This window comes from Homo sapiens, chromosome 13 (assembly GCF_000001405.40).
Source record: "Homo sapiens chromosome 13, GRCh38.p14 Primary Assembly".
Classification (NCBI taxonomy): domain Eukaryota; kingdom Metazoa; phylum Chordata; class Mammalia; order Primates; family Hominidae; genus Homo; species Homo sapiens.
Genome location: NC_000013.11, coordinates 50,201,914 through 50,217,033, shown reverse-complemented (window position 1 = coordinate 50,217,033; position 15,120 = coordinate 50,201,914). Strand labels below are relative to the sequence as shown.

The 15,120-nt window shown below is 37.7% G+C and overlaps 1 long non-coding RNA gene across 1 annotated transcript in view; it reads right to left on the bottom strand.

Annotated features, from left to right (window-relative positions):
* The window catches only part of DLEU1 (deleted in lymphocytic leukemia 1), a 446,475-nt gene that overhangs the window by 311,610 nt on the left and 119,745 nt on the right, over positions 1 to 15,120 (bottom strand). The window lies entirely within an intron of this gene.

Sequence of the window (15,120 nt, the reverse complement as noted above, 5' to 3'; positions counted from 1 at the left end):
AATGAGTATATAAACCTTTTTATATGCTTCTGGATTTGGTTTGCTTGTGTTTTGTTGAGGATGTTTGCATTTATACTCATAGGAATTACTGGTCTATAGTTTTCTTTTTTTGTAATGTCTTTGTCCAGTTTTGGTATTAGAATGAGTGGATAAGTGGGGTTTTTCTGGAAATGTTTGTGAAGAATTGGTGTTCTTTAAACATATGGTAAAATTTACTGATGAAGCCACGCAGGCCTAGGCTTTTCTTTGTGGGAAGTTTTCTGATTATTTACCCAAACTCTTTCTTTGTTATAGATCTACTCATATTTTCTATTTCTTGAGTCTATTTCAGTAGATTGTGCCTAAGAATTTGTCCAATTTATCTAGGTTATCTAGCTTGTTGACATACAATTATTCATAGTGTTCCTGTATATTCCTTTTTATTTCTATAAGGTTGGTAGTAATGTCTTGCCTTTCATTCCTGAGTGCAGTAATTTGAGTCTTCTCTCTCCTCTTCTTGGTCAATCTAGACAAAAGTTCATTAATTTTGTTGATCTTTCAGAGAACTAACTTTTGGTTTTGCTAATTTTCTCTATTGTTTTTCTGGCCTCTGTTTCCATTATTTCCACTGTAATCTTTATTAATTCCTTTCTTTTGTTTGTTTTGGGTTCAGTTTGCTTTTCTTTTTCTAGTTTCTTAAGGAATTAGGTTATTCCAATTAGGTTAAGATTTTTTCTTCTTTTTTAATACAGGAATTTATAGCTGTAAATTTCCCTTTAAGCACTGTTTTTGTTGCAGCACATAAATTCTGGTATGTTGTGTCTTTGTTTTCATTCATCTCAAAGCATTTTCTTATGTCCTTTGTAACTGCTTCTTTTACCTTTTAGATATTTATCAGTGTGTTGTTTAATTTCCACATATTTGTGAGTTTCACAAATGTCTTTTTGTTACTAATTTATAATTGCATTCCATTGTGGTCAGAGAACATGCTTTGTATGATTTCAATCCTTTTAAACTTATTGAGATGCTATATGGCTTGACATATGCTCCATGTTCCATGTGCATTTTGAGAAGAAAGTATGTTATGCTCTTTTGGGGTGGAGTGCTCTATAGATGTCTGTTACATCTACTTGGTTTATAGCGTTGCTCAATTCTGTCATTGTTGATCTTGTGTCTAGTTGTTCTATCTATTATTGATAGTACAGTATTAAAGTCTCTGACTATATATTGTTAGATTTTTCTAATTCTTCCTTTAATTCTGTCAGGTTTTGCTTCATGTATTTTGGGGCTCTGTGGCTATGTAACATTCTTATGTCTTCTGGATATACTGACCTTTTTAATCAATATAAAATACCCTTTTTTGTACCTGGTAGCAATTTTTGTCTTACAATCTACTTTGTCTCATAGTAGCAAAGCCACTCCAGCTCTTTTGTTTACAATTTGTGTGGTATGTCTTTCTCCACCCTTTAACTTTGAACCTTTTTGTGGTTTTAAATCTAAAGTATGTCTCTTGCAGATGCCATATAGTTTAATCATGATTTTTTTGCCTCCCAATATCTGTCTTTAATTGGAATGTTCTATCTGTTTATATTTAATGTATTTACTGATAAGGTAAAATTTAGTTATTTGTTTTCTATATACATATGTTAGGTCTTTTTTGTTCCTCTATTCCTCCATTACTACCTTTTCTTGCTAAATAATATTTTCTAACACAGCATTTTAATTCTCTGTTCTTCTTTGACTATTTTTTAACTTAATTGTTTAGTTGTTGCCCTGCAAATTACAATACCTTAACTTATAACAATATAGTTTAGATTAATATCAACTTAATTTCAACAGCATATAAAAACATTGCTCTTATTTAACACCATTTTCCCCTTCACTATTGTGCTGTTGTCATGCAAATTACCTCTTTATATATTTTATGCCCATCAACACAGTTATATAATCATTGCTTTATGCAATTATTGCTTAAATCTGTTAGAAAAAAGTTATAAATAAAAACTACATTTAAACATTTATATTTACTTATATTGTTACCTTTACTGGTGGTGCTCTTTATTTCTTCATATGAATTTTAGTTACTGTCTGGTGTCCTTTCATTTCAGCCTGAAGGAGTCCCTGTAGTATTTCTTATAGGAAAGGTCTGATAGTAACAAATTCTGTTTTTCTTTATCTGGGAATGTCTTAATTTCACCTCCATCTTTCAAGGATAGTTGTTTATTCTTGTTTGACAGTCTGTCTTTCAACAATTTAAACATATCATCTCAGTGCCTTCTGGGATCCAGGGTTTCCAATGAGAAATCAGCTGTTGATTTTATTGAAAGTCCCTTGTAAATGATGAGTCACTTCTCTCTTGCTACTTTCCAGATTCTCTTTATCTTTGGCTTTTGATAGTATGATAATGATCTGTCAACCCTAGATTATGATCTGGGGTTTTTTTTAGGTATTTATCTTATGTGGAGTTCACTGAGCTTTGGGGATATGTAGATTAATATTTTTCCTCAAATTTGGGAGGTTTGGGGCCATTATTTCTTAAAATATTTTTTCTTCTCTTCTCTAACTCTCTCCTGAACTGAGACTCCCATTATGTATATGTTGGCACTTTTGATGATGTCCCATAAGTCTCTGAGTTTTTTCATTTTTCACCATTCTTTTTGCTTTCTGCTTCTCAGACTGAATCTCAATTGACTTATCTTCAAGTTTGCTCATTCTGCCTTCTGCTTACTCAACTTTGCTTCTGAAGTGAATTTTTTATTTCAATTATTAAAAATTTCAACTCAATAATTTCTATTTGCCCCTTTTATCATTTCTATCTTTCTTTAATATTCTCTACTTGGTGAGATATTGTTCTCATATATTCCTTTAGTTCCTGAAATATATTTAAAATAGCTAATTTTTAGTCTTTTTTCAGAAAGTCCAAACTTCTTTGGGAACAGTTTCTGTGGTCTGCTTTTTTTCCCTGATACTTTGTTATTTGTTTATCTCATAATTTTCTGTTGAAAACTATATATTTTAACTAATATAATAAGGAAAGCCTGGAATACAAATTCCCCTCCTTCCCTGTGGTTTCTGCTTGTTACTGTTTGCTGGTGGTAGTATTGGTAGTGGTTTAGTGACTTTTTTGAACTAATTCTGTAGTCTGTATATTTTGTAATGTTTTGCCACTGAAATCTCTGCTCAGTTACAATAGTGGTCAGCTAATGATTAGACACAGACTTCCTTAGATGTCTGGAATCAATGAGTTTACCAGTCTTTGCTGAAGAACTCTGCATGTCTAGGCATGCTTTCAACAGGCAATGCTAAAACAGGCCATTTATAACTCTGCCTTAGCCTTCACTTCCTGCTTGTGCAGAACCTGTTGATTAGCCATAAAAGCAAAAAGCCAAAGGTGGGACCTTTGAGGCCTTTCCTGAGTATGGGCTCTAGGCTTGTAAACAACCCCACACGTGCATGTGACCTTTTAGGTTCTGAGGAATATGCTGGAGCCTTCCAAAGACCCCTATGAACATATCATTCCCCAGCATTTTCTTTTAAGCCTTTTGGTTAGCCTACTGTTTGCCACAACTATTATTCAGTGCTTCAGGCAGTTGAAATTTCAACATTTGCTTCTCATCATTTTGAACAAACACCCCTAAGGAAAAGCCTGTTCACATTAGATGACCTCTGAGTCGGGTCAAATAAAGACAGCCCCATAAGTGGGATGTTCCAGAGAACAATCAGACAAGTCAAATAATAAAAGTCTCTAGGAATGGGGATTTGAAGGAACTCCAACCCTATTCTTCCCTCTCATGTGGCTACCAGCCTGCTGGTTTTCATCGTGATTTATGGGCTGTTGATTTTCAAGGCTACTATGGAGTTGGAGAAGGAGGGGATTGTAATAGGACAAGTTAAAGCACCACAAAGCTCTGTATTTTTTACCAAAAATCAGCCATTTTTCTTGAATAAATGCTCCCTGGATTGCTGCAAGACCTTAGCTCTAAGAAGCTCAATGTATCACAAGTAAAATAAATACACAGACTCAAACACCAAGACACATTATAATCAAGTTGTTGAAAACAAATGATAATGGGAAAATCTTTAAAGCAGCCAGAGAAAAGGGATATATTACAGATAGGAAAGCAATAACTTGAAGTACCACTGATTTCTCACAAAAACAATGCAAAAAAAGCTATAACCTAAAATTCTATGTCTAATTCTATATCCAATTTTAAAACTCCTTCAAAAATAAAGACAGATTCAGACAAAAGAAAGCTGAGAGAATGTATTGCCAAACATACTTCAGGTGGAAGATATACACGTAAATAATACAAATGATTCTTTTCTAATTTATTAATTCATAAAAATAATTATTTAAATAAAAATAATTATGATGTATTATATAATACATAAATCTCTGAACTCCTCTCTCTGTGGTTTTTCTTTAATCCAGCATGGCATGATAAACTAATAGACATTTCCAGGTGAGGTCACAGCAGAGAACAGAGACACTAGTTCTACACTGGGGCCAAAAAAACTCAAGAGAAATTCATGGCAAGCAGATGTTCTCTCTATTACCCACATAAACTTTATACTTCTTAGGTCTTTGATCTCCTTACCCTCCTCTTCTCTCATTAGAAATAACTTCCCCCTCCCCTCTCTGCTTTTCTAAGATCTGACTTTCTTTCAGGGTCCAATTCAAATCCTTCCTCCTTTACGCAGCTTTTCTAGGCTTATCCAAGGACAGCTAGCTAGTTAATGGCAGTTGCACAATTAGAACCTGGTCCTTCTCAAACTTCTTCAGGTGGTAGGTGTCATGAAAGTAACAGCATCTTTGCAAAACACTATTAAATACTGCTACACTTAGGTTTTTTTAAAGTTAATGTGTTATGCTTAATTGGATATTTTATTTTATTTTATTCCACGTTTTTGCCTGTGACACAGCCCTCAGGAGATCCTGAGAACATGTGCCCTCAGTCAGATCTTTCTTACACTAGATTCTAGTACAGAAACAAACACCAAAGCTTTAAAAAGTATTGGGAGAAAAGCATACATAATTCTGGGAAAGTGTTTTTCTTAAAATCAAGAAAAGACACTTATTTTTCCAATATTTTAGTGGCAAAACAACTTGGTCTTGCCAGAAGAACATCAGTGTTCTACAGTTCATTTTCTTTCTCTCTCTCTCTTTTTTTTTTTTTTTTTTTGAGACGGAGTCTTGCTCTGTCACCCACGCTGGGGTGCAGTGGCACGATCTTGGTTCACTACAACCTCCGCCTCCTGGGATCAAGCGATTCTCCTGCCTCAGACTCCTGAGTAGCTGGGACTACAGGCGCGTGCCACCACGCCCAGCTAATTTTTGTATTTTTAATAGAGACAGGGTTTCACCATATTGGCCAGGATGGTCTCGATCTCTTGACCTCGTGATCTGCCCGCCTCAACCTCCCAAAGTAATGGGATTACAGGCATGAGCCACCGCGCCTGGCCCTGCAGTTCATTTTAAAGATCATTGTACTGTATGCCATCCTAAAATTCTCCTTCACTTTCCATGACTTAAGGTTCAGGTGAGGTTCAACCCCATCCTGATCTCCAAGGAGATTTGCAGAAAAATAATTTTCTCAGTATTATATGGATCTACAATAAAGTGTACTCTTTGTCATCTGTCATGTCTGTGTCATGTTTCATTTTAGAACAAAGATACCTTAGATTTATAGCCTAGGACATAGCTAATTCCAATATCCTAGGTGTAAACCCTCTTAGTTACTCCATTAGATTCTCTAGTCTCAGACTACTTTCTATACTCTGCCTCTTAACACATGTGTTCAAATTAAACAGAAAAATTCCTGATGTGTTCTTGCCTGGTGGTCCAAATTTTTAAAAATAGAAAAAGAAAAGCCTTATGTGGAGAAAAGAAGCCATTTCCACAGGCATTCTCCTAATATGGCACTAACAAAGGATCCAGGGGCTGAAATATGGCTATATCTAGAGCACCCGTGGATCTCTAGGGGTCTGTAAAGTACTCCCTTACCTCATGGTGCTTGGCACCCAAAGAGGGGCCAAAATGTTTGCTACTCATTCCTGAAGGAAATCCACCGTTGTCACCTGAGGCCTGATGAATCACACATCACACGACTCAGCAATGCACTATGGTTTAAGCTACAACCAACTGCAAAGAAAAGCAACTCCATGTTCTCCATAGAGGAGACAAGGACACAAGGGTCAGACTGATTCTCTGAGGTAAGCTAGGCCCTTTTGGAAGAGCTACTGATTCAGAATTCTGCCAGTATTCAGAAGTTGGAATACAGCTGGTCTCTTAGTCACCGATAAGGGTAGAACAAAAAGAAATGAGTGTAAACTTCACCTAGAGAAATATAAGTTAGACCAAAGGACAAATCTGTGGAAGACTCTCAGCAGGATACAATGCTCATGTGTGTGCCAAGCATTTTTAAATTAGTCAACTGTCCTCACCAGAGGCTGTGGCTAACTAAACATCATATCACCATATCCAGGCTGGGCATGGTGGCTCACGCCTGTAATCCCAGCACTTTGGGAGGCCAAGATGGGCAGACTGCTTGAGGTCAGGAGTTCAAGACAAGCCTGACCAACATGGTGAAACCCTGTCTCTACAAAAAATACAAAAATTAGCCAAGTGCGGTGGTGCACACCTGTAGTCCCAGTTACTTGAGAGGCTGAGGCATGAGAATTGCTTGAACCCAGGAGGCCGAGGTTGCAGTGAGCCGCGATCCTGCCACTGCATTCCAGCTTGGGTGACAGAGTGAGACCCTGTCTCAAAAAAAAAAAAGCATATCACTATATCCAGAAATGGTGATAAATAATATATAAGTAATACCACCATTCAATATATTCTTTAATATATTCTCATACATTCTTAACATATTCTCATATAAGTTGAATTTCAATAATATATTCAAGAATGTATTATTATGCCTTCAAGAATATATTACTGTAACTTCAAGAAAATATTGTTATGACTGGGGAACTAATATAAAAGTCTTGTTCAACCCAAAAATGGTTCCTGGGATATTTCTATACAATGTAAGAATTCAGAAATTTGGTTTTAAATGACTACTGAAATAAACCTTGTGAGGTAAGCAAGCTACATGAAGACAAATAAACCAGTGGGATTTTTTTTAAGTATGTTTATTCAAGTTGGGGAAAAGCCACATAATTCACTATATGTCAAGCCTAAACTTAGATTTTTCATCATCATCTGACAATATGTGGCAAGCACAGTTTTTGCAAAACAGTCAAACTCCCAATCAGTAATAAGGAATCTTTTAACTCAAGGTTGCATATTGTTCTTTGGCTAAAAATAGTAGAAAATCTCAATCCTTTAAATACAGAATAATCTCTCTGATCTCTCTAACTTATTTTACTTCCTGTGATCACATAATACTGAATATCTATTACGTGCCTAGTATGTGGAAAGCTTTTCTCAGCATCAAACCAAAATTTTAAATATCAAGAAAAAACAAAAAACCCTCTTAAAACTTTTTACGCTCTAAGAGGGAAGAGAAATAAAAAATAAACAAATTTTAAAAAGACTTTTTAACTCTTTAGCATGTTTTGAAAATCACATTATACGTTTTAGCATGATGTTATTAACTAATTTGTATGTATTTGTTCCCTGTCATAGTTAGTAGGAATATTTTCTCAAACTTCTGAGAATATTTAAAATCCATATTCAAATGATTTTTTTAGGAGCCTAAGACTTTACAAGAACACATTTTAGAACTGACTCTAGTCACCACAAACAAATTCAGTGATGTGTACACGCGCATGCATGAATACATACAACAGTTATGCTCCAGACACCACTCACTCTCCACAACTCCTCACTCCTCGACCTTCTACCCCCAGCCCCCTGCCCCTGGGGACGCCTGATCTCCAGTCTGGGAAAGGAAAGTGCCTCCTCCACATCCTCTCCCAGGGTCTCTCCCCAGACCTGAGTCGGTGGGGAGAAATGCTGACTCACAGACACAGCCGGTTAGCAGCTCTCACTTCCCCAGCCCTGCTGAGCTGAGCAACCCCAGGGAGCGTGGAGAAATTGTTGGTACACTCTCCAGAAGACTGTGGGAAGAAACACCCCTAAGCCTTGAGCCTGGAGTCTGGCGGGCTGCAGGAGCTACCAGCAGAACCTCAGGCACAAGGGATCCACATGTTCACAGCTGCCACGGGGAAGACAGAAAAGAAAGGAAATGAAAGGTCAAGAGGACAGAGAAAGTGAAGGGAGAAGAAGGGAAAAGAAAGAATTGCATAAGGTGGAGTGGTCAAAAGTGGACTGCCCACCCTTTCCTGAGATTTTCTTCCCTGCCCCTCCCCTAGCTGAAGGCCCCTCTGCAGGATGCCCCGGTCCGGAGGCAGCCAGCCAACCAGGCAGTGTCTCCCTGATTTCAGCTGACTAAAATATGTTGGCCTGAAGCCTATAAACTTGTGTGTTTTTGATTGCTCACCAGATTCTCATCCAAACGCCTTTCACTTTTTCACTCCACAAAGGAGAACATGTCATGGAAGTGACTTGCCTAAGAACATACTTCAAGCTATCTCTTCACCAAGAGAACTCTAAGTTAGACAAAAGGACGAATCTGTGGAAGGCTGTCAGCAGGATACAATGCTCATGTGTGTGCCAAGCATTTTTTAAATTAGCCAACTGTCCTCACCAGAGGCTGTGACTGACAAAAAATCATATCACCATATCCAGGCTGGGCGCGGAGGCTCACGCCTGTAATCCCAGCACTTTGGGAGGCCGAGACAGGCAGATTGGTTGACGTCAGGAGTTCAAGACCAGCCTGGCCAACATGGTGAAACCCCATCTCTGTCAACGAGACCCAAGGGTAAGCTACTGCTCTGCCCTGGATAACACCCCACTTATAATAATCTATAATTCTATATACCTTAGGACACTGAGGCCACGTTTCATCATCCCAGAAATTTAAATAGTGTTAACAATAAAAAGAAAACACTCCTTTTAGTTCTCAAAAGCAATTGTATGATTCAAGTTGTAAGTTTCAGAACAGGCAAAACTAATACATGATAGGAAAAAATATGATCAACAGCTTTGGGGGTGAGGGGATGGGGGTTGACTAGGGAGGAACATGAAGGAACTTTCTGGAATGATGGTAATGTATATGTTCTATACCTTAATAGTGGTTTGGGTTACACAGCTGTATTCATTTATCAAACCTCTTTCAGTGGTACCTTTAAGATATGTGCATTTCAGTGTATGTAGATTTGACATCAAAGGGAAAAAACCATGGAAAATATTTATTTAAATCTAGTTAGAGATATGCATGCTGAAGTGTCTAAGGATGAATCTGCAACTTACTTTTAAATATATTCCAAAAATAATATGTGTTGATGAATGGATAGAGGGATAGGTAGATGAATATCTACATGTGATGAAACACTATAGTAAAATGTTAATTATAGAATCTAAATGATAATCCAGCTGGGTTGTTCACTGTCAAATTGTTCCAACTTTTCTGTAAGTTTGAAAATTTTATTATAAAATGTCGGTTTAAAGCATTTGAGAATTATTGATGGGTATGAGATTTTATATTTAGGTATTATGAAGACAGGTGTTACATCTGACTTTCATATCTATATGATATATACATATTAGTAATGGCAAAAACTGTGATTACTTTTGCACCAGCCTAATAGAATACAACCTACTTGTATATATGCCACAGATACACACACACTCATATATTCCAGTTTTATAGTAAAAAATTCCAGTTTTATATTAAAATAATAGAGTAATTTAAAAGGCATCATATGAATTAACAAACTGAGCATCAAGTAGATTTTATTTTATCACATAGACAGACTTCTGTCAATATGAGACATTTTATCTGTTAATTCAGTTTTACACATAAAAACCATGCACAGAAATACATACACTGATCACCAAGCTTATGGACAGGTATTGTAAAGACCTGCTATTAATATATCATGTTAGAAGCAGGGCAGTAAAAACAGTTCCCTTACATCTCCCCTGTGTCTATCCCTATATGACATTTCTGCATTACTAACGCCTCTAGATTAGATTACAAGAAGCAGCAATTTAGAAAACCAACTTAAAGCAGATAGATGAATAGGTAGATGAGAGAGACAGAGATTAAATTCTTATTGGATATTAATAACTTGGCCTTTATTTATGACTGGCCTCCCTCCTAAGGATTTGAGGTACTTCCAATAAAAATATGTGCAATAATTGATAAAATATAATAAGAAGAGAGCATCAGGACTAGGGAAAATATAAGTAAGAGTGGTAATTTTAGACCAAGAAAAAGAAAAACACAAATTATATGCAACAAGGGAGCCTAGGATAACAGCTACATTTGAACATAATATTTGTCTCTGAATCACAGAGAAAAGAAACTATCAATTATGCTGAACTTTCTAATTTAATATTTAATTCAATGTTTTAAAGCAATTTTGTCCTTGAAACTTTTGGAGAATATTCAGCGATATCACTGACAGCCCTCTCAACACCATTCCTACAGAAATAAGATTTAGTAAAAGGTATTCTATATCTGTTTCTCAACAAATTGTTGAATAAAAAATCTAGAGCACAATAATGGTTATCCCAAAGGCAAGAACTTCTAGTAAAGGAAATTCCGGGTAATACAAATATAGATAACCTCCAAGGGTGGTCAGAGTAGATAGAAGTAAATAAAATAAAAGTAAATAAAATAAGATTTTATCTCATAGTCTATGCCCGATAAATGAGAAAAATATGACAACAATTTTTTCTTTCAAAGTTCTATAATGTAATAGATGCTCTTTCTCTGAACACCATTCCCAATCCCCCCATCACCTGCTTCTCTCCCCTACCCTGGCCAATCTTGGGAAAGAGGGTACCCTAGCCACCTTGTTTGTTCTACTTGTGGACATGTGGTTACAGGATCAGGGATGCTCAGAAGGCTGGCTCTGCAAAGAGAGAGCTGAACAAATTTGAAACACGGAGAAGCAGAAACTAAAGGTGGAGACAGACATCCTTCTGACCTTCGGGTCCTCTTCCTGGTCTCCTTGAGGCCTAGGGACTTTCTTCCAGAGAGTTCTGTGAGATAACACCATTGTGGCCTTTTAATAAACCTCCTGTTTTACTAAAATGCAACCAATGAATATTTAATTTCAGGAGCAGCTTAGACACATATTCCAAGAATGGAAATTTCTGTCAGTTTGGCTTGATTCAAGCATAGAACTTGTAGTGTCTAGCGGAAAGGATGTATTCTAAACCATCTTCCATAAATATCACGTTTCTCAGCCAACCTTTGATGAAAGTGATGAAGAGCAGACAATTCAAGATGGTTTGCTCTTGCAGGGCCTGGAATGCTGGTGCTCTGAGCTGATCCATATGCTTCAAAAATCTCACAAGCAGATGGTGAGGTATTGATCTTTTTTGAAAACTAGGTAGACTGCTCTGGACTCATCCAGATGGACTCAGACCCATGAATTTAATCAAAGTCAGCAACCTAGGGAAGAACAGGGCTGACTGGGTAGAATGGGCATTAAACTGTTTTGGTAGCAAAAGGTCATCCTTAAGCTTTATCAAATGTAAGCTTCTTCATCAAAAGTGTGGAGGTTTATTATGTCAGAGTCTAAAATGGGGCCAACTGTTCAAGAACTATGGAATTGGGAAAACCAAATCTTCCAGATGTCAAGTGTCCATCAAGAGATTCCAAAGGCAATTTTCATATCATTCATTGTTATTTTTATTATTAAAATGCTTATGGCAAAAAAATTCAGAAAATATGGCAAAATAGTTTTTAATAGAAGGTAATTAAGGCCAGGCATGGTGGCTCATGCCTGTAATCCCACCACTTTGGGAGACCAAGGTGGGAGGATCACTTGAGGCCAGGGGTTCAACGCCAGCCTGGGCAACAAAGTGAGACCCCGTTTCTACAAAAAATGCACAGATTAGTCGGGCATGGTAGTGCAAACCTGTAGTCCCAGCTACTTGGGAGGCTGAGTTGGGAGGATTACTTAAGCCCAGGAGTTTGAGGCTGCTGTGAGCTATGATCCCACCACTGTACTCCAGCTTGAGTGCCAGAGCGAGACACTGTCTCTAAAAGAAAAAGAAGAGGGTAATTAATAACCCAATCTTCTAGGATAATTACTGTCATTTTTTTGCCATATTTCCATCCAGTAAAAAGTGTTTCATTTATTTATAAAGCTATTTTGTAAACTTAACAAAATATTATAAATATGTCAATGTCAATACATTTTACAGGATCATTTTAATAACCATGTAATATTCCAGTAGATGGCCATGCCATCATACTTTATTTAAACAGTCCCCTGCCACTGGGTGTTTAAATGATTTCTGGGGTTTGGCTACTATAAAAGATACTGAAATGAACACTTTTATACATAAATCTATATTTACTTGTCCAATCATCTCCTTAGGATAAATTCCCAAAGCTCTTCAAAATTTGATGTTCCACTCATTAGAAGGAGTTTTTCATTGGTAAGAAGTGTATAATAAGATAGAATCAGATACATTTTTGAGTGATTCTTCCATACTCTTTTCTGCAGCATGACTTCTTAAACTTAGCATTCTAAACTTAGTTTTCCAGGGTTTTTGGGTTTCTTGTGGGCACCAGGCATCCTCTTCAAATCAGAAGCCTAATGACCACACCCATATTTACTCAAATAAGATGCCCTTAGCCAACTAGAAGCGACGAGTAAACTGAAAAGCCCTTCCTTTCTCTGCAGTCTGCTTAATGCCCTACTTTCAAATGTATAATTTTGTGTGTGAATGAGCCCAAGAACCCCTGGGTCAAAAGTACAAGTGAGAAGAAATGGCTGCTTTTGGAGCACCAGGGATGGTGTTAGATTCACTCAATATAGTCTACGACATTGGTCCATACAATGGAGATGCTAGTAAAGATAGCCCCAAATATTTATCCTATCATCTGACATTTAGCAGTGTTAAATTATGTTTATACATTAATTAGGCAAGTAATTATACAACTACCCCAAGGGGACTGACCCATGGGGAAATAATTCTTGCAGTCATCATCAGATAAAACCTTAGCACGCAGAGAATTATCATAGCCACTGCATTCTCAAAATACATGCAGATGATGAGATTATCAAATGGCAGCTATATATGCAACAGACACCTTAGGGGGAAGGATGGAAACATATGACATCTGTTGATTTGGCCTCCAACTAAGGAACAGAATCTGGAGAAAACTGGTTCTTGTTGTATAAGCCCTGATGCACAGAGATGATCCTCCCCTTTCTGACTGAGAAAAAAAAAAAGTGTCAAATTACCCTGACTTCTTCCAAATTCCCTGTTGTGATTTGAATTGTGTCTCCCAAAAATCCATATGTCAAAGTCCTAACCTCCAGTCAGAATGTGACCTTATTTGGAAATAGGGCCATTGCAGAAGCAATTAGTTAAGTTAGGATGATGTCATATTGGAGTAGAGAGGGCCAGTATGACCCAGTGTGACTGGTGTCCTTATAAAAAATGGAGAATTTGGACACAGAGACATACACATATAGAAGTAAGATGATGTGAAGAAACACAGAAAGAAGATAACCACCAGAAACGAAGAGAGGCACAGAACACATTTCTCCCTCACAGTCCTCAGAAGGAAGCAATCCTGCCAATGCTCTGATTTAGACTTCTGGCCTCCAGAACTGTAAGACAATACATTTCTGTAGTTCCAAACCACCCAGTTTGGTACTTTGTGGCAGCCTGAGCAAACCAATGCATCTCTTTAGCCCCCTTTAACATCAGAAAGAAGAAAGGTGTGAAACACTGAAAAAATAAAATAATTCACTTTCCAAAATCCTGGTCTGTTTGAAGACAAAAAATGTTAAGCCACAGAAATCAAATCGTAGCATCAGATTTATTTATTTATTTATTTATTTATTTTTATTTTTTTTCTTTGAGATCAGGTCTCACTCTGTCGCCCAGATTTGAGTACAGTGGAGCAATCACAGCTCACTGCAACCTCTGCCTCCCAGGTTCAAGTGATCACACACCTCAGCCTTACAAGTAGCTGGGACTACAGGCACATGCTCAACAATTTTTTTTTTTTTTTTTTTTTTTGTAGACTCAAGGTCTCATTATGTTGCTCAGGTTAGTCTCAAACTCCTGGGTTCAAGAGCTCTCCCCACTTTGGCCTTTCAAAATGCTAGGATTACAGGAGTGAGCCACCACATCAGGCAGCTATTTGTTTAGGACCCAGAATAGAAAAATTCCTATCACTGGGAAATGAAATAATTTGCTCGCAGAGCTATTAGGCGAAAGGGCTAAGGTCTGACACGAAGCTGTTCAAAGACAGTCACTCTACTATGTGTTGCCTTTGACAGGCCTTCCCCTCCCTTTGCACTCCAGCTCCATTTCCCTTTGCCTCTCCTCTGCCCTCAGATACACAAGGCCCCCATGCTGCCCTCAGCCACAGCCCCTACTCCAGCACCCTATCCAAGCCAAGCCAGCCTCCCCCAGAGAACCACATGTTCCAAACAAAATGCACCCTCTGCCACTTCATTTCTCCTTGATCCACAAACAAAACTCCTGGGCCTTCAGAATGGGATCGTTGCTAGATTTTCAGAAGAAAGCAATCTGAATACCTCAAGCAATTTACACAAAAGTGTATATAATGCCCGAGGAGTTTGTAAGCCAAAGAATCTCTACTTGGCAGAATTTATGGGGCAAATGACTTCAGTAAAGTGCATTTTGGTGTTACTTGATGGCTCTGAGTGACTGTCCCCACTCTCAGGGATCTAAAGCATAGTCAGGGACCTGTGAAGCCATTAGGCTGTCCCCTAAATGCTTTCCTCAACCTCACTCATCCTTTTGTCCTTGTTAAAATGTGTGTCCCTGGGAAATTTGCATCTCAGGGTGCTGGCCATCTGAGTGTCTGAACTTAAAAATGGCTCTATCAGATTGGCTGTGATATCAGAATATAGAGCTGAGCTGCAATAGTTTTCCATTTTATTCCTCAGCAAACGGGAGCTCTTTCCAGGAGGACGAAAAGTGTCACTACCCCAGGTTGGAGGGAGAGGGAGAGATGCCACCAAGAAGAGGGTCACAAGACAGCACATCCAAAAGGACTCAAGGTCATGCTTAGCCTGTCCCAACATTTTGCCTAACACAGAAATAACAATTTTAGCCAG